The sequence below is a fragment of the Homo sapiens genome, chromosome 1 (assembly GCF_000001405.40).
Source record: "Homo sapiens chromosome 1, GRCh38.p14 Primary Assembly".
In the NCBI taxonomy this organism is placed as follows: Eukaryota; Metazoa; Chordata; class Mammalia; order Primates; family Hominidae; genus Homo; species Homo sapiens.
This window is the reverse complement of record NC_000001.11, coordinates 151,891,699-151,914,850: the sequence shown is the minus strand read 5'-3', so window position 1 is coordinate 151,914,850 and position 23,152 is coordinate 151,891,699. Positions and strand designations below refer to the sequence as shown.

Below are 23,152 nucleotides of genomic sequence, written 5' to 3'. Positions count from 1 at the left end.
ATAACATCCATGAAACCCTACATTTGATGATGGCATGGGAATATATAATTTTCTCCAGGTGTTTCAGCTGTAAAATAGGGATAATAATGGTAATCTCACATGATTATCCTGATGATTAAATGAAGAGAACTTTGAACTAGAGATAAAAAGTTAAGATTCATCAGCAAATAAAAGGTATTTAAACCATGGGAATTGATGAGACAACTAAAGAGAAAAAGTTGAGAGAGAAAAGAAGATCCCAGCCCTCCTTCCAAATGTTTCCCACTCATTAGTTCATTCAACAATTATTTTTGAGTGTCTAAGATCTGCACGTCACTGAATGCATGGGTACACCAAAGAGACATGGAAAAAGCCTATAGTCTCCTCAGAGAGACAGGTAGCACACAAATATATATTTAACTACAAACTATAATAATTGCTTTAAAGGAAAAGTTTCAGCACTCTGAGAGAATTTAATGAAGACCTAATTCAGATTAAATAAAATCATGTATATAAAGCACTTAGCATACTGTCTGAAACCTAGTAAGCACTTTGTTCAGGGAAGGCCTCCCTAAGAAAGTGGCAATTATGCTGACACCAAAAATTTAGTAGGAGTTAGCTACGAAAGAGTAGGGGGAAAGAGCATTACAAGCAGAACATCAACACACAAGAAGGCCCTGGGGCAGGAAAGAGCCTGCGGCACTCCAGGAGCTGAAAGGAGACCTGTGCAGCTAAAGCATATGACAGGTAGTAAATGACAATACCATCTACCTGACACCCCACAAGTAGAAATCTCCCTCTCCTCCATGTGATTAAAATGACTTCAAGAACCATACAACATTACTTGGACATATTGTATGATGGTTAAAAAAAACCACACAATAACTCTGTACATTATATTAAAATATTAATGATGCAGATAAATTGTATCTACCTAAAAATGAGCCTGCAATTCCTCTTTTCAACCTCCTCTTTCACAGTCACCCTTCTTCCACTACTGAAAGGGAAGATGGACCCTTCACCCAGCCGGAGACTCATTTTGGTGCCTTGCCCCATGGATAACAATTCAAGAATACATCCTTTCCAAGAGTGAGACCTATGACAACAAATCCAAGAAAAATTCAGCAAGAAATATTAAAGCAGCTAGCATCACGCTGACATTCAGTTTTCTTATAAATGGAAGGTTTGAAATTTAACTTAAAATTTAGATGTGAAATGTTATCAGAGGTGCATTAATAAGTGCAATAATAAGAATACAAATATCTCATTATTTTAAATGGGCAAAATATTTGAATAGACGTTTCAATGAAGAAGATACACAGATGAAAAATAAGCCCATAGATGTCCTACATTATTCATCATTAGGAAAATGCCAATTAAAACCACAATAAAATACTTACACACATCTAGTTACAATGGCTAAAACATAAAAGATTGACCATACCGAAGGCTGGCAAGGATATGGAGGAACTGAAATCCTTATGCACTGCTGGTAAAATGATACAACAACTTTGGAAAAGTTTGGCAGTTTCTTAAACAGTTAAACATACATCTACCACATGATCCAACCATTCCACTCTTAGATATTTACCCAAGAGAAATGAAGGCATACATCCATACAAAGACTTGTACTCACAGCAGCTATATTTGTAATTCACAAAAACTGGAAATAAGCCAAATGGTCATCCATGGGTGAATAGAAAAATTGTGGTACATCCATACAATGGAATACTACTCAGCAATTTTAAAAAATAAATTCTCGACATAAGCAAAACATGGATGAATCTCAAAATAGTTATAGTGAATTAAAAAAATCCAGACCACAAAAAGTACATACTATATAATTCCATTTATATAAAACTCTAGAAAATGGAAATTAATCTACAGTGACAGAAAGTACTGTACGATAGAAGGGAGGATTTACAAAAGGGCATGAGCAAATTTGTGGGTAATATTTTGTGGCTCATTATCTTGATTATGGTGATGTTTGCATGAGTGTAAACTTGTATGAAAACATCCAATTGTATACTTTAAATATGTTCAGTTTATGTCAACTATCTCTTTTTTTTTTTTTTTTTTTTTTTTGAGACGGAGTCTCATTCTGTCACCCAGGCTGGAGTGCAGTGGTGCAATCCTGGCTCACTGCAACTTCCGCCTCCCGGGTTCAAGCAATTCTCCTGCCTCAGCCTCCCGAGTAGCCGGGATTACAGGTGCACGCCACCATGCCCAGCTAATTTTTGTATTTTTAGTAAAGACGGGGTTTCATCATGTTGGTCAGGCTGGTCTCGAACTCCTGACCTTGTGATCCGCCTGCCACAGCCTCCTAAAGTGTTGGGATTACAGGCATGAGCCACTGCCTCTGGCTTTTTTTTTTTTTTTTTTTTTGAGATGGAGTTTCGTTCTTGTTGCCCAGGCTGGAGTACAATGGCGCGATCTCGGCTCTCTGCAACCTCCACCTGACAGGTTCAAGCGATTCTCCTGCCTCAGCCTCTCAAGTAGCTGGGATTACAGGCATGCGCCACCACACCTGGCTAACTTTTTTTTTTTTTTTTTTTTTGAGACTCAGTCTTACTCTGTCGCCCAGGCTGGAGTGCAGTGGCGCGATCTTGGCTCACTGCAAGCTCCGCCTCCCACGTTCACGCCATTCTCCTGCCTCAGACTCCCGAGTAGCTGGGACTACAGGCGCCCGCCACCACGCCCGGTTAATTTTTGGTATTTTTAGTAGAGACAGGGTTTCACCGTGTTAGCCAGGACGGTCTCAATCTTCTGACCTCGTGATCTGCCCGCTGCAGCCTCACAAAGTGCTGGGATTATAGGAGTGAGCCACTGCGCCCGGCCTTAATTTTTGTATTTTTAGCAGAGACGGGGTTTCACCATGTTGGCCTGGCTGGTCTCAAACTCCTGACCTCAGGTGATCCACCCACCTCAGCCTCCCAAAGTGCTGGAATTACAGGTATGAGCCACGGTGCCCATCCTATGGCAACTACACCTCAATAAAGCTGTCTACAAAATTAAAGAATGGTGAGAAGACTATTAAGTTTCATACCATTGGCTTATTCGAAGCCTAGTTCTATCAAGATTGAACATTTGTTCCTTGCCTAAACCATACAAGCTTCAAACTCCTTCACTTCCATAGCCTATCAATCCTATTTCTAGACTGTAACCTGCCCTTCCTCTTCCAAATCTGACCAGACATTTTATATGTGCTGTCAACACGAATATCCCAGAGTAAGCCATGCAAGAGTGTGGATGACTTAACTAAATGCACTGCCGCTACTTGAAAAATTTAGAGTTAAAATTTAATGAAGTTTAAACTCAGTGTAACTGACCTCTAATTGCCCTAAGTCTAAGGTCTTTTAAGAAGCTGATAGGTGCCGAGTGCAGTGGCTCATGCTGGTAATCCCAGCACTTTGGGAGGCAGGCAGATCACTTGAGGTCAGGAGTTCAAGACCAGCCTGGCCAACAGGGTGAAACCCCGTCTCTACCAAAAATATAAAAATTAGCCAGATGTGGTGGCACGCGCCTGTAATCCCACCTACTCGGGAGGTTGAGGCAGGGAGAATCGCTTGAACCCTGGAGGCAGAGGTTGCAGTGAGCCAAGATCATGCCACTGCACTTCCAGCCTGGGCAACAGAGTGAGACTCCATCTCAAAAAAACAAAAGGAAGCTGTTAGGTGAGCTATTGGTACATTAATCATATAGACAATCTTAGCAGGGTTGAAGTCTATAGGTATTGATTGATTTGACTACACTGTAAATTGTAAATAGATGCAATTTTAAGTTACCTGAATAAACTTTTCTATTCATTAACAGTAGTCATCTCAATTTTAGAGATTTACGTTATGCTCGTGCCTCCATCTGCACGCACAACATGGGAAGACAACAGACACCAAAGATACTTTGGATTCTTGCTGCTAAGTAAGTATTCAAGCACTACGTGCACGTTGTTACAATTAATAAGGCAATCTGACCCCATCCCTGCCACCAGGAAACTGCAATACTATTAATATATTAAAAAGGAAGACAACTGAGATAAAGGGAATGTGGGAGGTTGGGGGGGGTGCTTAGGAGATATCAGAATACAACCTCTTAGAATTACAGAATCTCAACAACCATCCTTTATGCCTGATCTTCGGTTCAGTAGCTCTAGGATTCCAAGGGGCCCCTCCTAACTGCATTGCCTTCTCTCCCCAATTCCCTTTCTCTCAGAATGTTACACCTTCCCCCAGTTAATAGTGTAGGCTTAAAATGTATCTAGGTGTTCTTACCTACTGACAAACTGCTGGAGTTGTTCATGGGAAAGGAATCAAGGCAAAATATCTAATGCATTCAGGTCATTCGAGTTTTCTTTTTAATTTATTGCTTTTTTGAGATGGGGCATCAGTATGTTGCCCAGGCTGAAGTGCAATAGCAGTATCTCTGCGAGACTCTGTCTCAAAAAAAACCCATTAGAGTCTTCACCTTAGGATGGACTAGGGCTATGGCATACTGGTAAGCATTTAAAAATAAAGGGGTATGATGGCCCGGATTTGCATTATCTGAGTAATGGGAATACTCCAACCCAGTCCGATTTCAAGGTCCCAGTGAGGTTACTGAATTCGAAGCTCAGAAGGTATGCGCCTAGTATTCCCACCATACGAATACAAGCGAGGTAAGTAACCTCAAAAGCATCGATAACAGTAAAATAGTTACAATACCTGTTACGCCTTTAGTATCCATTACCTTCGTTTAATTTAACTGTCAGTTTACATAACAAAAGAGTCTTTTAAGGCGTAAGCGCGCTCCTGGGGAGGGTATGGGGCTGTTGGCAGGGAAAGCAGCTTTTCGATCGTATAAATGCTCTTTGTGCCCAGACTGCCCTCTATAAATCAGCACTATCAACCCTGTCCAGAGACTTGCCCATGACCTCCAAGAAAACACTTTATTCATACTACTCCTAGCGTGCGCTCCTACCCGCCCCAGGGACTTCAGTCTTCCGGGGGAGGGATAACTACTTGGGGACACGGAGCACTGCGTACGCCCTGGGTCATGTGGGAAGGATGACCGCAAAGCCTCCAGTCGGCGCGCGGGTTCCGGGGCTGAGGGGCTGAGGGGCCCAAGGCGATAACCGGGATCCGCTCCGGCCGCGCTCCTCTTGCCTTTGAGAAGCCCCGGAAGTGGCCCGGCTGTTGGCCGCAGCGGGAGGTCTTCGGAAAGAAAAGGCCGGAACCAGAAGATAGACTCAACAGCGATGCCCTACCCGGACCCCGCCGGCCTCACACCCCGGCCAGCCAGCCGCCAGTAGTGCGCACCGCCTCCTCCCCAAGCCCCGCCCTGCGTCCACCCCAGGGGTTAACTCGCACGCGCGCTCTTGTGGCGGAGGTAGAGTGCGCCGTCCAGGGCTAGAGCAAGCGCGGCCCCGCGGCCCGGAGCCATGCTGAGGAGCTGCGCCGCGCGCCTCCGCACGCTGGGGGCTCTGTGCCTGCCGCCAGTAGGCCGGCGCCTGCCGGGAAGCGAGCCGCGACCCGAGCTGGTGAGTCTGGGCACCCTCGGGCATGGGGCGGGAGCAGGACTCAGAAACACGCCTGCGGTAACAGAGCCTTCGATTGTTATCCATACCCCAACCAGCCAATCTCAGAATAAAAGCTCACCTGGGCACCACAGGGCAGCATAAGCAACAGGGGCCTAGGAATACAGTCCTGAGATTCAAACCGTTAGAAAAGGGATGGAAAGGTGACCCCGTTTTTTTGTTTTTTAAGAGACAGGGTCGGCAGGGCGCTACCTGAACTGCATAATTTAGTCTGTCTATTTATATTTTGACAACATCTGTATTTTACCAATAATATTTGAGGCTGTTTTTATTTTTCAAAGATTAAAGTGACGTGAACTAAAAGATACCACAGCTTTTATCTTCCCTTTAAAAAAATATTTGATCCAAACGCTTATCTTCCTTTAGGTCAATTAATTAGAGATCTTTTTATAGACATCACACACAACACATATATAACTACACAGACAGGCAGAAGAAAACCCAGTTGCCATAAGATCTTTCATCACAGGGAGAGGGATCTATCTGCTTTTAATTCCTGGGGTTCCATGAGGAAAACAGAGATCGCCCCTCTTATGCAGGCATTAAAAGTGGCAAGGCAAAATGGAGAAAAATAACTCAGTCGACCGCAAAGAAACACTTTTTCCAGCAAAATAAGGTCCAAGAAAAGGAAAACATAAAGGCCTTATAAATATAATTACAACTTAGATATCTACTTTTAATTAAGCTGAGCACTCCTTAAGAAAATTCTTTTAACACCCTTATTATCTAACTTTAGCTCCACCAAGCGGCCAATATTTCTGGCTTTCAAACTTTACTTAAAGGCTCAGAGAAAGGAAAATCCAAGGTGGTTGGTGGAGGGCAGGGGAATCGACAAATAGCGAAAGGGCATACAGATACCAAACCAGAAAGGACTCATTCCCTAAGCCAGGATGAATCTGGGCCATGCCGGGCTAAACGAAGCTATGCAATGGGGTTACAGGCCACGCCCCCAAGGACGTAAAACAAGATGGAGGCCTGCAGCGAAGTTTGCTGTGGAGCATACAGAAAGACATGCAAAACACACAGATTGGCTACAGCTTACGACTTACCTCACAAATCCTTTCGCACAAAACTTTACAGAAAATATAAACGGTAATCCTCATCATTCCCAAAAGAGCAAAACGTCTTCCAAAAGGAAAAGAAAAACCTCCTTTAAAAGTATACTGCTGATGGGTTGGAGAGGAGATAAGGATGCCTGGGGGAAGAACCTCTTATTCCTATGCAAATGGTTCCTCCACCAGAGAGAGGAGCTTAATTGCTGTGGGACAGAGCTAGACTCCCTGGAATGGGGAGGGGGAGACTGCAGGCACCTGGTAGGGAACGCCAGCCAGCCATGCCGGCGCCTTGGAGCCTGGGCAGTGGCTGTGGCTCATTTATGCCCTGTGTGGCTACTGGACACCACACACACATGCTGCAGACACCACCATGCACCCCAGCCAGTAAAGAAGTGGGGCCAGGGAGCTACCCCACCCAACTGTCTTGTGAGTGCACTGGTGACCATTGGGGTGGGTGTGGACCACCTCCAGTATCGTAAAAAGAAAAATAGGTGCCGTTGCTGTCCCCCCAAAAAGAAGAGGAATGCCATAAGACCAAAAGGCTCAGAAATGAAAGTGAGAGGTTTTGAGTCCCCATTTCACTCATCCTTCTGTTGCAGGAATGAAGGAGGACTGGAGAGGCCATGGGGTGAGACAGGAGAACTTTATTGAGTGCACTCAGACCCAGCGGACTAACATCCAAAAGCTGGGCCCAGAACAAAGACAGCACTTGACTTTAATACACACTTTTAAAAGGGGGTGGGCTAGCTTGAAACAAGCTTACAGTGGCGTGAAGCATAGTGGCGTGAAAGCAAGGATACAGAGGCAGCACAAAGGCAATTAATTCATCAAATTGTGACAGGTGCATAATTCAGGATTACATACTGTGTCGGAATTGATGGGTTCTTGGTCTCACTGACTTCAAGAAAGAAGCCACGGACCCTCGTGGTGAGTGTTATAGTTCTTAAAGGCGGCATGTCCGGCGTTTGTTCCTTCTGATGTTCGGATGTGTTCAGAGTTTCTTCCTTCTGGTGGGTTCATGGTCTTGCTGGCTCAAGAGTGAAATTGCGGACCTTCGTGGTGAGTGTTATAGCTCTTAAGGCAGCACGTCTGGAGTTGTTCGTTCCTCCCGGTGGGTTTGTGGTCTCGTTGGCTTCAGGAGTGAAGCTGCAGACCTTCGCGGTGAGTGTTACAGCTCATAAAGGCAGTGTGGACCCAAAGAGTGAGCAGCAGCAAGATTTATTGCAAAGAGCGAAAGAACAAAGCTTCCACAGTGTGGAAGGGGACCCGAGCGGGTTGCCACTGCTGGCTTGGGCAGCCTGCTTTTATTCTCTTATCTGGCCCCACCCACATCCTGCTGATTGGTAGAGCCAAGTGGTCTGTTTTGACAGGGCCCTGATTGGTGCATTTACAATCCCTGAGCTAGACACAAAGGTTCTCCACGTCCACACCAGATTAGCTAGATACAGAGTGTCAACACAAAGGTTCTCCCAGTCCCCACCAGAGTAGCTAGATACAGAGTGTCGATTGGTGCATTCACAACCCCTGAGCTAGACATAGGGTGCTGATTGGTGTGTTTATAAACCTTGAGCTAGATACAGAGTGCCGATTGGTGTATTTACAGTCCTTTAGCTAGACATAAAGGTTCTCCAAGTTCCCACTAGACTCAGGAGCCCAGCTGGCTTCACCCAGTGGATCTCGCACTGGGGCTGCAGGTGGAACTGCCTGCCAGTCCCACGCTGTGTGCCCACACTCCTCAGCCCTTGGGTGCTCGATGGGACTGGGCGCCGTGGAGCAGGGGGCAGCACTCATCAGGGAGGCTCGGGCCGTGCAGGAGCCCACGGAGGGCGTGGGAGGCTCAGGCATGGCAGGCTGCAGGTCCCGAGCCCTGCCCCGCCAGAAGGCAGGTAAGGCCCAGTGAGAAATCGAGCGCAGCGCCAGTGGGCCGGCACTGCTGGGGGACCCAGTACACCCTCTGCAGCCACTGGCCCGGGTGCTAAGCCCCTCATTGCGTGGGGCCGGCAGGGCCGGCTGGCTGCTCCGAGTGCAGGGCCCGCCAAGCCCACACCCACCTGGAACTCCAGCTGGTCCACAAGCACCCCGCGCAGCCCTGGTTCCTGCTCGCGCCTCTCCCTCCACACCTTCCTGCAAGCTGAGGGAGCCGGCTCTGGCCTTGGCCAGCCCAGAAAGGCGCTCCCACAGTGCAGCAGTGGGCTGAAGGGCTCCTGAAGTGCCGCCAAAGTGGGAGCCCAGGCAGAGGAGGCGCCGAGAGGGAGCGAGGGCTGTGAGGACTTCCAGCACACTGTCACCTCTCACTATGACCCTTGCTTATGCAGCCCAGGTGGCTGTTATCTAGGCTTGCTCAAAAGAGCCTTGCAAGTGCTTATCTCATAATCTTCACTATGGTGCCCAGACGGCCGCAGCCTAGGCCTACTCAGGCATGTCTTATAACCTTCACTGTGCTGTTTAGATAAAACAGAATACTTGAAGTTACTAGTTACAGAAAACAGGAATCTATAAACTCATAAAACTTGCAGAGCAAGGTACAATCACACGGAAGGGGATGGGATTCAAGGGGGAACTTTACTTTTTCTTATCCTTTTGTTGAGGGAGTGCTGGAAGAGTCTCCAGAGCACATCCTTTGAGCCCTGGTTTCTTTGAGAATGTTATCAAGACTACACCCGGGTCAGGGCTTTGCCTGTTACTGCCTTTGGGATGAGTCAGCCTCATATAGAAAGCTTGTTTTTCACTTTTTAAATTTTATTTTGCTTTCTTCAATTTCCTGCCTCACTTCCTCAGGCCCCATATTTGAGCGCCAAACACAGTTAGGGTGAGAGTGAGACTCTGTCTCAAAAAAAAAAAGGACTTTCTTCTCAATTCATCTAAGTTCTTGTCACACAATCAGGAAAGATCAGTCTTGTGGACACAGAAGGGTGAGAATAATGGAATTTATTGGGCAAAAAAGGAAAAAGAGAAAAACCTCAGCAGAGGAAGAGGGAGCTGCTCCTACCCTGCCACACAGGAACTCAAGAGGCCAGGCTCCTTGCGTCTGCCAATGGCATGAACTTCTGTGGCTCCACCCTGTTCTCCCAGTCAAAGGCTGGTGGGAGGTTCTCTGGGGAGCTCTTTTTACTTCGCTGTCTTACCACTTTATAAATGTGTAACCAAAGCTCAAGCAAGACCTTTCCTCTGTTCAGGACAACAAAATATAATCGTTGTCCCTAACATTTCTACTTCATTTATAATCTATGCTTTGTCTTTACTTCAGGTATCTCTTAGTTTTCACCTCCTTGAACTGAAACCTTTATTATTTCTATTTCTACATTATTATAGTGTCCATCTGGAGTAACAAATTCAACCCCTGCCAAACTAAAATTAATAGTTACACTCCTGTTTTCTCTCTCCTGATCCACATGTGCACACTAAGAAAAACCTTTCTTTTCATTCTATTCACCCTAGTTTTCAAAGCCACAGCTCTAGATAATCATTCAAGACTCTTCTGCTTTCTCTTTCCCAGTCAGTAACTCCCCACATCCCTCAGTCCCAATGTCCTAAATATCTTAAAACTTTACTTTTCATTACTCAGTACCTAGTTCAGATTCTGACCATATCTGACCTGGGCCTTTGCAACAGTCTTTTAACTGGTTTCCCTACCATTGCATTTCACCATTTTAATTCATTCGTTACACCAGATGGAGCTTTCTAAAACCTATGTTCATATTACTCCCTTGCTTAAAACTCCTTAAGTCTCCTCATAAAGGAAAAACGTGCTGTATCATTCAAGTGCTTTCATGATTCTTTAAAGACGCCACTTCTTTAGTTAACTTAATCCTATGTAATAACATTGGTGAAATCACGTGTGAGTTTTCTACTTATGTCCTTTTATAATATATGAATATATTTTGTTATATTTTAAAATACATATATTTTTGTCCTTGTGCCACCTAAAATCATTTTTCATGCTGGTCTTTGGAAATACTGACCTAGAAGTTGAAATCTAAGCCCTATGGTGTGATCCCTCTAGTTCTTCACATCTTGCTGCTCTTCTCTTTCCACCTTACATATATGAAGGCTGAAACCCTAGCAGTTCCCCAATGTGATACGTTTATTTCAATCTCCTATGCCTTCGCTTGGAGCAGGCCCCCTCCCCATTCTCTCCTTAATGAACTTTTTATCCGTAGGAAATCACTCCATCATTTCAAAGTTTTCCCTGAAAGTCATCCGTTCTATGCCTGTATCTATTTCTCTTGTAGTATTTTTCACATCCAAGGCTGCTAACACTTGAAGGCAGGGTCTAAGTCTTCTCTCTGTTTTACCTGTCCCTCACATAGAACCAGGGCATGTAGTAGGACTCAAAAAAAGTTTCTTGGATTTAACGGAATCCCAGACTTTAAAAGTTAAAATCAGGAGAACCCACAGTTAAGGGAGTCATTCTAATTCCTAAAAGTATTTAATTAGCTCTGTATCCATAAAAGGACAGTGGAACTGATGGATCCTAGTGTTACTTGTTTAAGATGAGACCAGTGGCTAATGAGATGAGTTCAAATTCATAACTCCAAAGCTTATACATACTATTCTGCCTCTCAGTTGACATGTTTTGGTCAATACATAGTAATCTGTGATGAATTGTCTTGTTGGGTTACTTCTAGATTCATGTCCTTTAAAAGTTACATAATCAGGACTGGATTCTAAGGAAATAATCCAAAATAGAGGAAAAGCTATATTCATAATGTTCCAGTGGACATTTTCATTTAGAGCAGCAAAAGATTGGAAATAATTTAAATATCTACCTTAATGGCTAATTATATAGTATATCAGTTTAATGGACTATTTTTCTGCTATTGAAAATGGTGGTAACTGATATTACGGAGAAAGTGAACACTAAATAATTTCAAGTGGTAAATGTAGAAAGCAAAATTGTGGGATTTTTAAAATTTTGTTTGTTTTTGTTTTTACTGAGATTACAAGTATATTAGGAAAAATTATATTTAAAAAATTTGGAGGAAAGAAAATTTGCCATTAATTATATTAAGAGGGAGAGATGGGTGGGTTTAAAACTTTTTCTTTTCTTTCTTTCCCAAATTTTCTGAGCTGGGTTCTGGAAGGATGAACCAATTAAAAAATATATATATATGGAAAAAGATTACAAATCCTGGGCTAAGGGCAAAGTGGTTTCAACCCTGATCATGTATCCCCAACCCTCTGATACTCCAAAGTCAGGACTTCCTTTTTTTCAGCCAGGACGTTTTTATTCTGTAGAGTTTTTTGTTTGTTTGTTTTTGAGACAGAATCTCACTCTGTTGCCCGGACTGGAGTGCAGTGGTGCAGTCTTGGCTCACTGCAACCTCCACCTCCCTGGTTCAAGCAACTCTTGTTCCTCAGCCTCCCAAGTAGCTGAGACCACAGGCACACACCATCTCGCATGGCTAATTTTTGTATTTTTTGTAGAGATAGGGTTTCACCATGTTGGCCAGGCTGGTCTCAAACTCCTGACCTCAAGTGATCCACCCGCCTTGGCACCCCCAAAGTTCTGGGACTGCAGGTGTGCCACCACGCCTCAGCTTCCATAGAGTTTAGTTTTGATCTGTTTTGTTTAATTTTTATTTTTTAATTTTATTTTTCCATAAGTTATTCAGGTACAGGTGGTATTTGGTTACATGAGTAAGTTCTTTACACTAGTGATTTGTGAGATATTGGTGCACCCATCACCTGAGCATTATACACTGCACCATATTTATAGTCTTTTATCCCTTATCCCCCTCCCATTCTTCCCCCCAAGTCCCCAAAGTCCATTGTATCATTCTTATGCCTTTGCGTCCTCATAGCTTAGCTCTCCCATATAATTGAGAACATACAATGTTTGGTTTTCCATTCCTGAGTTACTTCACTTAGAATAATAGTCTCCAGTCTCATCCAGGTCACTGGGAATTTGGGTTGGTTCCACGATTTTGTGTTGGGCATTTGGGTTGGTTCCATGATTTGCAATTGGGGATGATGCTGCTATAAACATGCATGTGCAAGTATCTTTTTCGAATAATGACTTCTTTTCCACACTGTTTTCCATAGCAGCTATACTAGTTTACATTCCCACCAGCAGTGTAGAAATGTTCCTTGATCACTGCATCCACAGCAACATCTACTGTTTTTTGAGTTTTTTTATTATGGCAATTCTTGCAGGAGTAAGGTGGTATCGCATTGTGGTTTTGTCTGTTTGTGCTCTTTCAGACTTTTTGAGGTAGGCATTTAGGGCTATGAACTTTCCTCTTAGCACTGCCTTAGCTGTATCCCAGAGGTTTTGATAGGCTGTGTCATTATTGTCATTCAATCTGAAGAATTTTTTAAATTTCCATCTTGATTTCATTTTTGACCCAGTGCTCATTCAGGAGCATGGTTTTTTTGTTTTTTTTTTTTGTTTGTTTTTTTCTGAGACAGAGTTTCGCTCTTGTTGCCCAGGCTGGAGTGCAGTGGCACAATCTCAGCTCACTGCAACCTCTGCCTCCTGGGTTCAGGCAGTTCTCCTGCCTCGGTCTCCTGAGTAGCTGGGATTACAGGCGCATGCCACCACTCCTGGCTGATTTTTGTATTTTTAGTAGAGACTGGGTTTTGCCGTGTTAGTCAGGCTGATCTCGAACTCCTGACTTCAGGTGATCCTCCCGCCTCAGCCTCCCAAAGTGCTGGGATTACAGGCATGAGCCACAGCGCCTGGCCTATTTGCATGGTTTTGAAGGTTCCTTTTTGGAGTTGATTTCCAGTTTTATTCCACTATGGTCTGAGAGAGTGCTTGATATAATTTCAATTTTCTTAAATTTATGGAGGCTTGTTTATGGCCTATCATGATCTATCTTGGAGAAAGTTCCATGCACTGTTGAATAGAATGTGTATTCTGTGGTTGTTGGATGAAATGTTCTGTATGTATCTGTTAAGTCCATTTGTTCCAAGGTATAGTTTAAATCCATTGTTTATTTGTTGACTTTCTGTCTTGATGACTTGTCTAGTGCTATCTGCCAAGACCAGCTCAGTTATGGAGACCCTAACCCAGCAGTGCTAGAGAAATTAAAGACACACAGAAATATAGGGTGTAGAGTGGGAAATCAGGGGTCTCACAGCCTTCAGAGCTGAGAGCCCCTAACAGAGATTTACCCACATATTTATTGACAGCAAGCCAGTGATAAACATTGTTTCTATAGATTATAGATTTACTAAAAGTATTCCTTAGGGGAAACAAAGGGATGGGCCAAAACAAAGGGATGGGCTCTGGCTAGTTATCTGCAGCAGGAACATGTCCTTAAGGCACAGATTGCTCATGCTATTGTTTGTGGCTTAGGAACACCTTTAAGCGGTTTTCTGCCCTGGTTGGGCCAGGTGTTCCTTGCCCTTATTCCGGTAAACCCACAACCTTCAGCATGGGCATCATGGCCATCACGAATATGTCACAGTGCTGCAGAGATTTTGTTTATGGCCAGTTTTGGGGCCAGTTTATGGCCAGATTTGGGGGCCTATCCCCAGCAGCTGTCAGTGGAGTATTGAAGTCCCCCACTATTATTTTGTTGCTGTCTATCTCATTTCTTAGGTCTGTTAGTAATTGTTTTATAAATTTGGGAGCTCCAGTGTTAGGTGCATATATGTTTAGGATTGTGATATTTTCCTTTTGGACAAGGCCTTTTACCATTGTATAATGTCCCTCTTTGTCTTTTTTGACTGCTGTTGCTTTAAAGTTTGTTTTGTCTGATGTAAGAATAGCTACCTATCTCTGCTTGCTTTTGGTGTCCATTTGCATGAAATGCCTTTTTCCACCCTTTAAGTTTATTTGAGTCCTTATGTGCTAGGTGAGTCTCTTGAAGACAGCATATAGTTGGTTTGTGAGTTCTTATCCATTCTGCGGTTCTGTGTCTTTTAAGTGGAGCACTTAGGCCATTTACATTCAATGTTATTATTGAAATGTGAGGTGCCATTGTGTTCATTGTACTCTTTGTTGCCTGTGTACTGTGGGGTTTTTTTTATTTTTTGTTTTTGCTTTTTAACTTGTATTTTTGTTTTATAGGTCCTGTGTGATTTATGCTTTAAAGAGGTTCTGTTTTGATGGGTTTCTGGGATTTGTTTCAAGATTTAGAGCTCCTTTTAGCAGTTCTTGTAATGGTGGCTTGATAATGGCGAATTCTCTCAGTATTTGTTTGTCTGAAAAGGACTGTATCTTTCGTTCATATATGATACTTAGTTTCACTGGATACAGAATTCTTGGCTGATAATTGTTTTGTTTGAGGAGGCTGAAGATAGGGCCCCAATCCCTTCTGGCTTGTAGGGTTTCTGCTGAGAAATCTGCTGTTAAGCTGATAGATTTTCCTTTATAGGTTGCCTGGTGCTTCTTTCTCACAGCTCTTAAGATTCTTTCCTTTGTCTTAGCTTTGGATAACCTGATGACAATGTGTCTGGGTGCAGATCTTTTTGTGATGAATTTCCCAGGTGCTCTTTGTGCTTCTTGTATTTGCATGTCTAGATCTCTAGCAAGACCAGGGAAGTTTTCCTCGATTATTCCCCCAAATATGTTTTCCAAGCTTTTAGAATTGTCCTCTTCCTCAGGAAGACCAATTATTCTTAGGTTTGGTAGTTTAACAAAATCCCAGACTTCTTGGAGGCTTTGTTCATATTTTCTTGTTCTTTTTCTTTCTCTTTGTTGGATTAGGTTAATTTGCATTTCTAAAAGTGTGTCCAAAATTTCCTGAATTTTTTATTGTTTTTTCTTTAAGCTATTTCCTTGAATATTTCTCCCTTCTTTTTTTTTTTTTTTTGACTCACTCTGTCGCCCAGGCTGGAGTGCAGTGGCACAATCTTGGCTCACTGCAACCTCCACCTCCCAGCTTCAAGCAATTCTCCTGCCTCAGCCTCCCGAGTAGCTGGAACTACAGGCGTGTGCCACCATGCCCAGCTAATTTTTGTATTTTTAGTAGAGATGGGGTTTCACCATGTTGGCCAGGATGGTCTCAATCTCTTGACCTTGTGATCTGCCCACCTTGGCCTCGCAAAGTGCTGGGATTACAGGCGTGAGTCACCACACCTGGCCCTCCCTTCACTTCTTGTATCATTTTTTGGATTTCCTTGCATTGGGCTTTGCCTTTCTCTGGTATCTCCCTGATTGCCTTAATAGCTAACCTCCTGAATTCTTTTTCAGATAAATCAGGGATTTCTTCTTGGTTTGAATCCATTGCTGGTGAACTAGTGTGATTTTTGGGGGGTGTCGACAAGCCTTGTTTTGTCATATTACCTGGGTAGGTTTTCTGGTTCCTTCTCATTTGGGTAGGTAGACTCTGTCAAAGGGAAGGTCTAGGGCTGAAGGCTGTTGTTCAGATTTTTGTGTTCCACAGGGTGTTCTGCTGATGTAGTACTCTCCCCCTTTTCCTGTGGATGTGGCTTCCTGTGAGCTGAACTACAGTGATTGTTTTCTCTCTTCTGGGTCTAGCCACCCAGTGAGTCTGCCCAGCTCTGGGTTGGTACTAGGAGTTGTCTGCACAGAGTCCTGTGATGTGAGCTGTCTATGGGTCTCCCAGCCATGAATACCAGTGCCTTTTCTGGTGGAGGTGGCAGAGGGTGCAGTGGACTCTGTGAGGGTTCTTAGCTTTGGTTTAATGCTCTACTTTTGTGCTGGTTGGCCTCCTGCCAAGAGGTGGCACTTTCCAGAAAGCATCAGCTGTAGCAGTATGGTGAGGGACCGGTGGTGGGCGGGGCCCTAGAACTCCCAAGATTATATGCCCTTTGTCTTCTGCTACCAGGGTGGATAGGGAAGGACCATCACCTGGGGCTGGGGCTAGGCACATCTGAGCTCAGACTCTCCTTGGGGGGATCTTGCTGCAGCTTCTGTGGGGGATGGCAGTGAGATTCCCGGGTCACTGGAGTTGTGTACCTAGAAGAATTATGGCTGCCTCTGCTGAGTCATACAGGTTGTCAGGGAAGTTGGGGAAAGCCGGCAGTCACAGGCCTCACCCAGCTCCCATGCAAACCGAAGGGCCGGTCTCACTCCCACCATGCCCTTCCAACATCCCCGTGTCTGTTTCCAGGTGGAGGGCAAGACGGGCTTGAAAACTTGTCTGAGGCTTTCCACCTCCCAGCTGCAAAAGAAAAGGGCTTTAGTTCTTCCCCGACCTGTGAAGTCTGCAAGCCGGGTTCATGCCCTCCCCGAGTTCTGGCCAGGAAGCTTCTCCCCAGTTCAAACTGTTACAAAGTTCAGCCGCAGAATTTCTTCTCCCTGTGGAATTTTACCCCCTGCTCCTTTGGCCACCCTCCTGATGAATCCCTGTGGTGCCAGGCAGGTATGGGCTGCTTGGGGACCCAGTGAGCTCCCAGGGCCTTTCTGCTGCTTCCCTTACCCTGTATTTCGCTCAGCTTAGCTCTCTAACTTGACTCAGCTCCAGGTAAAGTCAGAAATTTCTCCTGCAGACAGACCAGCTTCTCCAGTAGGGGTGTGTGTTCAGGAGAGGAGGGTCTTTCTTTCCCAATTCCACAGTTGGGGCACTCACAGTATTTGGGATGTCTCCCGGTCCTGCAGGAGTAGTCCGCTTCCTTCAGAGGGTCTGTGGGTCCTCTTGGGATTGCTGGTTCTTGCAGTCAATCTTGAACTAAAATTCACAATACAAGCCTCCACATGCTCAGCTAATACGATTTTGAAGAAAGTTGGAGGAATCACTCTGCCCAATCCAACACGTATTATGTTCCTACAATAATTAAGAACGATCACAAGGTCCCACAATAGGCTGTCTGCAAGCTGAGGAGCAAGGAGAGCCAGTCAGAGTCCCAAAACTGAAGAACCTGGAGTCCGATGTTCGAGGGCAGGAAGCATCCAGCATGGAAGAAAGATATAGGTTGGGAGGCCAGGCTGTCTCTTCTTCCATAGAGTTTTTGAGACAGGTTCTCTGTATTCTTCCCACCAAGCCAGCATTGGAGCCAGCCCCTGTCAGCAGAAAGCTGGTTCTCCCATCATACTGTGACCTCCCCGTTTTGGTTTTATGGTGCAGTGTGTGTATTGTAGGTACATTAAATCTGAATGAATTGATAAGGGTGGCTGAAAGTAGAATGCCATGGAGTTAATAGCTTCTGTGATCCTACATGTTCCAAGATAACTGCAGCAGTCCAAAAAGCCAGTTTCCTTTCTGGTGTTTGTGGGCATACACTTTGTTCTGCTCCTGAGTAAGTCACACTTTGTCTTCCAGGTCCTCTAGGATCCCTGCAATGTTCCATTTGTTGCCTGGGCATTGGAGTAATAGCAGTGCTTGGTGCTACAGAAATAGATGGATGGAAGTTGTGGTTACTGTGACACCAAAAACTTGTCCCCTGAGCTCCCTACTCCTCTTTCTCCTATATTTTTTGGTAATTGGCTCTGTCATTCACCTCACTGCAGGATTCAGAATCCTGGTACTGGGTCTTGTATTTCTCTTTTTCCCTTACCCTCCTTATCCAAATTGTCACCAAGTTCTGCTTCATGCTCTCATGATTTCTCACCTGAGTTACCCTAGTAGCTTCCAAATAGGGCCCTCTGATTTCAACCTTGGACACTCCCACTATCTTTTATATTATGGAAAGATCTAATCATGTTACCCCCCATTTAAAATCCCTCAGAGAGCACTGCAGATACAATTCAAGCCAGTTAGCTTAGTGTTAAGGTTTTACATGCATTTCTGCAGCCATCTGCCCCTATTCTTGCACCCTAATAATGCCAAACTTCTTTTAGGCCTTAATTTCATCATCTGCAAAATGAGGATAATAAATAGTACCTACTTCATATGATTGTAATAAGGCCCCTCAAAACTGTTTCATGCCTCTTTTGCCCACTGCATTAGGCTGTTCTCACATTGCTATAAAGAAATGCCTGAGGCTGCGTAATTTATAAAGAAAAGAAGTTTAATTGACTCACATTTCTACAGGCTATACAGGAAGCATGATGGTGGCATCTGCTTGGCTGCTGGGGAGGGCTCAGAAAACTTACAGTCAGCCGGGCACAGTGGCTCACTCCTGTAATCCCAGCACTTGGGGAGGCCGAGGTGGGCAGATCACCTAAGGTCAGAAGTTCGAGACCAGCCTGTCCAACATGGTGAAACCTCATCCCTACTAAAAATACAAAAATTAGCCGGGTGTGGTGGGGCGGCACCTGTAACTCCAGCTACTCAGAAGGCTGAGGCAGGAGAATCACTTGAACCCAGGAGGTGGAGGTTGCAGTGAGCCAAGATTGCGCCACTGCACTCCAGCCTGGACAACAGAGTGGGACTCTGTCTCAAAAAAAAAAAAAAAAAAAAAAGGAAGCAAGAAAACTTACAGTCATGGCAGAAGGCAAAGCAGGAGCAGGCACTTCACATGGACACAGCAAGAGCAAGAGTGCAAGGCACAAGGTACTATACACTTTTAAACAACCAGATCTCATGAGAACTCACTATCATGAGGACAGTACCGAGGAGGATGGTGCTAAACCGTCCATGAGAAATTCACCCCCATGATCCATTCACCTCCCACCAGGGCCCACCTCCAACTTTGGGGATTACATTTCAATATGAGATTTGAGCGGGAACACACATCCAAACTATATTCCAGTGTTTTTTTTTTTTTTCCTGTAATACTTTTTCCAGCTGGCTAATTTCTGCTTATCTAATCAATATTCAAGTCAAAGAACCCCTTCCTGAACCCCTAATCCTAGATGAGTACTTCTCCCTTATCCCCTAACTTCCTGTGCATAGCCACTGGAAGCACTTTCAACATGGAAGATAATGCCTGTTCTTAACCTCCATCTCCAGTGTGCTGGGCTTACCTGTGCTTGATTAAAGTCTGGAAAAAAAGAATGGAATCAGCAGACCTGAGCATAATCCTGGCTCTGTCAATAGCTCGCTGGGTGATGTTGAGCAAATCATTTTCCCTCTCTCAGTCTCTCATTTTCCCAAGGAGGTTGGACCAGATGATCCCTGAAATTCCCTTCCATTTTGAAGTGACAAGCTTATGGGGAGAAGAAAAGCAGCAAGATAATCTTAGAAATTGGGAGAATATGTTATGAAATAGAATGCACCTCCCATTACTTACTTTTCTTTTTCTTCTGTCTTTTAGAGGTCATTTTCTTCTGAGGAAGTCATTCTTAAGGACTGTTCTGTCCCCAACCCCAGCTGGAACAAGGACCTAAGACTGCTCTTTGACCAGTTTATGAAGAAATGTGAAGACGGCTCCTGGAAACGTTTGCCTTCATATAAACGTACACCTACTGAATGGATTCAAGACTTCAAAACCCATTTTCTTGGTAGAAACAGCCACTTTCCCATTAATATATCTGAGCATCAAATATAAAGCTAAGAACAGATTGAAGTACTAGTTACTACCTGAAAAAAAGAAAGAATATAATGCAGGATTATGGTTCTATAGTCACCAATTTTATAGACCAGAAATCACAATAAATTTTGCAGATTGGAGAGCATAAAGCCTATTGTCAAGAATAAGACTGCTCCCACCCTGGCATTCTTATCACCATTAGCAAGAGTGAAGAAAGGGCCCCAGAGAGCTTCCACCCTCCTACAACCTCATCACCTCTCCGTCTTGAGGCTGTCATCTAATCTCATTTCACCCTTTATCCCATATCTGGTTATATCACCCTAAGAAGCTTAGAACACTCAGGTTATACCCACATCTCCCAGTATCTAAATCCCCAGGGCAACCCACCCAACACCCAAAACACACACATAGCAATTCCTATCCTTCTGTGTTTTTTTACTAATATACTTTTTTAGCATTATAATTTTATAGAAAAATTAGCCTAAAGTACAGAGAGTTCCCATATACCCTTTATCCCCTCCCCACCCCTAATTTCTCCTATTATTAACATCTCACATTACTGTGGTGTATTTGTTACAATTGATGAGCCAATATTAATATATTATTCTTAATTAAGGTCCATAGTTTGTTTTAGGGTTCACTCTTCGTATTATGTTTTCCGTGGGTTTTAACAACTGTGTAATGACAGATATCCATCATTATAGTATATTTGAATCATTCACAGATATTTCTGAGTTACTCATTATCTTTTAATCATCCAAACACATCTTTAGGTGGTGGTTGGTTTTTTTTAACTGACTTTTAAGAAGGCCCTTGGGCCAGGCACCGTGGCTCATGCCTATAATCCCAGCACTTTGGGAGACTGAAGCGGGCGGATCACTTGAGGTCAGGGGTTTAAGACCAGCCTGGCCAACATGGTGAAACCTCGTCTCTACTAAAAATACAAAAAAAATTAGTTGGGCCTCGTGGCGGGGACCTGTAATTCCAGCTACTTGGGAGGCTGAGGCAGAAGAATTATTTGAATCCAGGAGGCAGAGGTTGCAGTGAGCTGAGATCGCGCCACTGCACTCCATCCTGGGCAACAGAGTGAGACTGTCTCCCCCCCTACAAAAAAAAAAAGAGAAAAAGAAGGCTCTCAATATTGCCCAACAACCATACTTCATGTTTCCCTAGTTTATTCACTCTCCTCCCTTACTGGATGAGTATTTTCTGCCTTTTTCTTTCTTCTTATGCCTCTAATACTTTCCCTTCTCACCCTCAGTTGGTCTCGCTTCCTATCTCACTAAGAGAAAATAAAAGCAGTCAGAAGAGAACTCCCAGTCTCCCATTGCCTCACATATCCTCCCCCCTGCATCTGTGCCTGATGTTCTGCTTCTTCCTGCTGTGAGTGAACCATCCACACTCTTAGGGAGACCAAGCCTTCCATTTGTGCGCTGCATTCCATTTTCTTTGGCCTACTGAAGGACATCCATCTCTGCTAGATGTTTCGTATCAGCATATAAACATGCCACAACTGCATTTCTCTCTTCCCAGTCTCTCTCTCTCTCTCTCTTTTGTTTTGGGTTTTTTTGTTTTGTTGTTTTTTTGTTTTTTTTGTTTTTGGTTTTGAGAATGAGTCTCACTGAGTCACTCAGGCTGGAATGCAGTGGCGTGACCTCGGCTCACTGCAACCTCCTCCTCCCGGGTTCAAGTGATTCTCCCACCTCAACCTCTCAAGTAGCTGGGATTACAGGTGCATGCCACCACACCCAGCTTATTTTTATATTTTTAATAGAGACAGGGTTTCACAATGTTGGCCGGGCTGGTCTCGAACTCCTAAATTCAAGTGATCTGCCCCACCTTGGCCTCCCAAAGTGCGGGGATTACAGGCATGAGCCACTGTGCCCAGCCTATCTTGAACCCACTCCCTCAAAACAGCTCTTGCCAAAGGTACCAGTGACCTTCATGTTGCTGAGTCCGCTAACCTCTCAGCTTTTGGCACAGCTGTTGACTCCTTTCTGTTTGAACATAACTTCTAGGACACCACATTCTCCACTTCACTGGTGCCTCCTTTTCAGTTTCTTGGGCTGGCTCTTCCCCATCCTCAAACCCTTCATGTTGGGGTGCCCTCAAGTCTCAGTCCTTAGTACTCCTCTCTTCTCCACACTCCATTGGTAATCTCATGCAGTCTCTCAGCTTTAGAGACCATCCAGAAGTTGACAACTTCTTAATTAAATGGTTGAAATTTAGTGCCTGGGTTCAAATTCTGGTTCCACAATTTAAAGCTGTGCAACTTTGAGCAAGGCACTTTACCTTTCTGTGCCTCAGTTTCCTCATGGTAGATACTTTAGTATTTGCTGAAGGAATGAATAAAACAAAAATAAAACTAATCAAGAAAAATTATAGAGTTCTTAAGTTTCTTTGCAGAATCTCTGATATATCTCGAGGGAAGAATTATTCTGTTTTATAAATGAAGAGGAAAAATGTGTAGTTTGTATTACTTATTCTCTTCCAACTGTTAGCACATCACACAACTGACTGTCCTTATCCCAGCACAATCTGGCTTCTACCCTCACAGCTCTACTGAAATGTCTTCATTGAAGCCACTAGTGACGGAAGTGCCAAATTCAGTGTGCATTCTTCAGCACTTACTGTACTAGACCTCCCTGTCTCATTCTCATTGAAACATTTTCTTTTGGCTTTCATAAACCTTTCAGACCAATCTTCCCTCCTCCTTCTACTTGCTCCTTAAATGTCAATGTTTTCCAGGGTTCCATTCCTACATTTTGCTCATTTCTTCATCCAACCCTCATTCGCTCTTGACTAAAATTTGACCCTCTCAGAATCAAGAGGAGTTTGAGATCCTCTTTGCTACCCACACTTGTTTTCAAACCATTACTTCCCCTCATCTTAAAAAGCCCTCTGGGCTGGGCACAGTGGCTCAACACTTTGGGAGGCCAAAGTGGCAGATCACTTGAGGCCAGGAGTTTGAGACAAGCCTGGGTGACAGAGCAAGATTCTGTCTCAAAAAAAAACAAAAACAAAAAACCTCTGTTTCTTTGAGTTTATACCATCTAACTTTGTCACCCTCCTCTTCTTCTCCTCCTTGTTGCTGTCATCTGTCAACCTCTCCCTCAGTGTTGAGTATTTCAGCAGCTGGTCCGCTATCTACCCAACTCCATTCAGCATCCTCAGCAACTCGAGCATCTACACAGTGGCTCCTCAGTTTATGTGCTTCCTCATCACCTATGAACTTTTCTTATCCCCCAGCCCCAGCCACACACTGCCATGAACATCTCGA

The 23,152-nt window shown here is 44.2% G+C and overlaps 1 protein-coding gene across 1 annotated transcript in view, besides 5 other annotated features; it reads left to right on the top strand.

Annotated features, from left to right (window-relative positions):
- Positions 4,368 to 4,955: an enhancer, noted in NCBI's record as "NANOG-H3K27ac hESC enhancer chr1:151882372-151882959 (GRCh37/hg19 assembly coordinates)". NCBI's record gives its function as "activates a minimal SCP1, AML or CMV promoter by ChIP-STARR-seq in naive and primed H9 embryonic stem cells {active_cell/tissue: H9 hESC(naive and primed)}" and the evidence as "EXISTENCE:reporter gene assay evidence [ECO:0000049][PMID:30033119]".
- Positions 4,944 to 5,063: an enhancer, noted in NCBI's record as "active region_1727". NCBI's record gives its function as "activates an Ori minimal core promoter by ATAC-STARR-seq in GM12878 lymphoblastoid cells {active_cell/tissue: GM12878}" and the evidence as "EXISTENCE:reporter gene assay evidence [ECO:0000049][PMID:35858748]".
- Positions 5,304 to 5,613: a silencer, noted in NCBI's record as "silent region_1330". NCBI's record gives its function as "represses an Ori minimal core promoter by ATAC-STARR-seq in GM12878 lymphoblastoid cells {active_cell/tissue: GM12878}" and the evidence as "EXISTENCE:reporter gene assay evidence [ECO:0000049][PMID:35858748]".
- THEM4 (thioesterase superfamily member 4) overlaps positions 5,340 to 23,152 on the top strand; it is a 38,646-nt gene continuing 20,833 nt past the window's right edge. The window contains exons 1-2 of the mRNA NM_053055.5: positions 5,340 to 5,491; positions 19,657 to 19,843. Coding sequence (NP_444283.2) covers positions 5,393 to 5,491; positions 19,657 to 19,843 — 286 coding nt within the window. The 5' untranslated portion in view covers positions 5,340 to 5,392. The remainder of the gene's footprint in view (positions 5,492 to 19,656; positions 19,844 to 23,152) is intronic.
- Positions 8,055 to 8,594: an enhancer, noted in NCBI's record as "H3K27ac-H3K4me1 hESC enhancer chr1:151878733-151879272 (GRCh37/hg19 assembly coordinates)". NCBI's record gives its function as "activates a minimal SCP1, AML or CMV promoter by ChIP-STARR-seq in naive H9 embryonic stem cells {active_cell/tissue: H9 hESC(naive)}" and the evidence as "EXISTENCE:reporter gene assay evidence [ECO:0000049][PMID:30033119]".
- Positions 15,933 to 17,132: an enhancer, noted in NCBI's record as "CDK7 strongly-dependent group 2 enhancer chr1:151870195-151871394 (GRCh37/hg19 assembly coordinates)". NCBI's record gives its function as "activates an origin of replication core promoter dependent on BRD2, BRD4, P300/CBP, MED14 and CDK7 cofactors, with strong dependence on CDK7, by STARR-seq in HCT116 cells {active_cell/tissue: HCT116}" and the evidence as "EXISTENCE:reporter gene assay evidence [ECO:0000049][PMID:35650434]".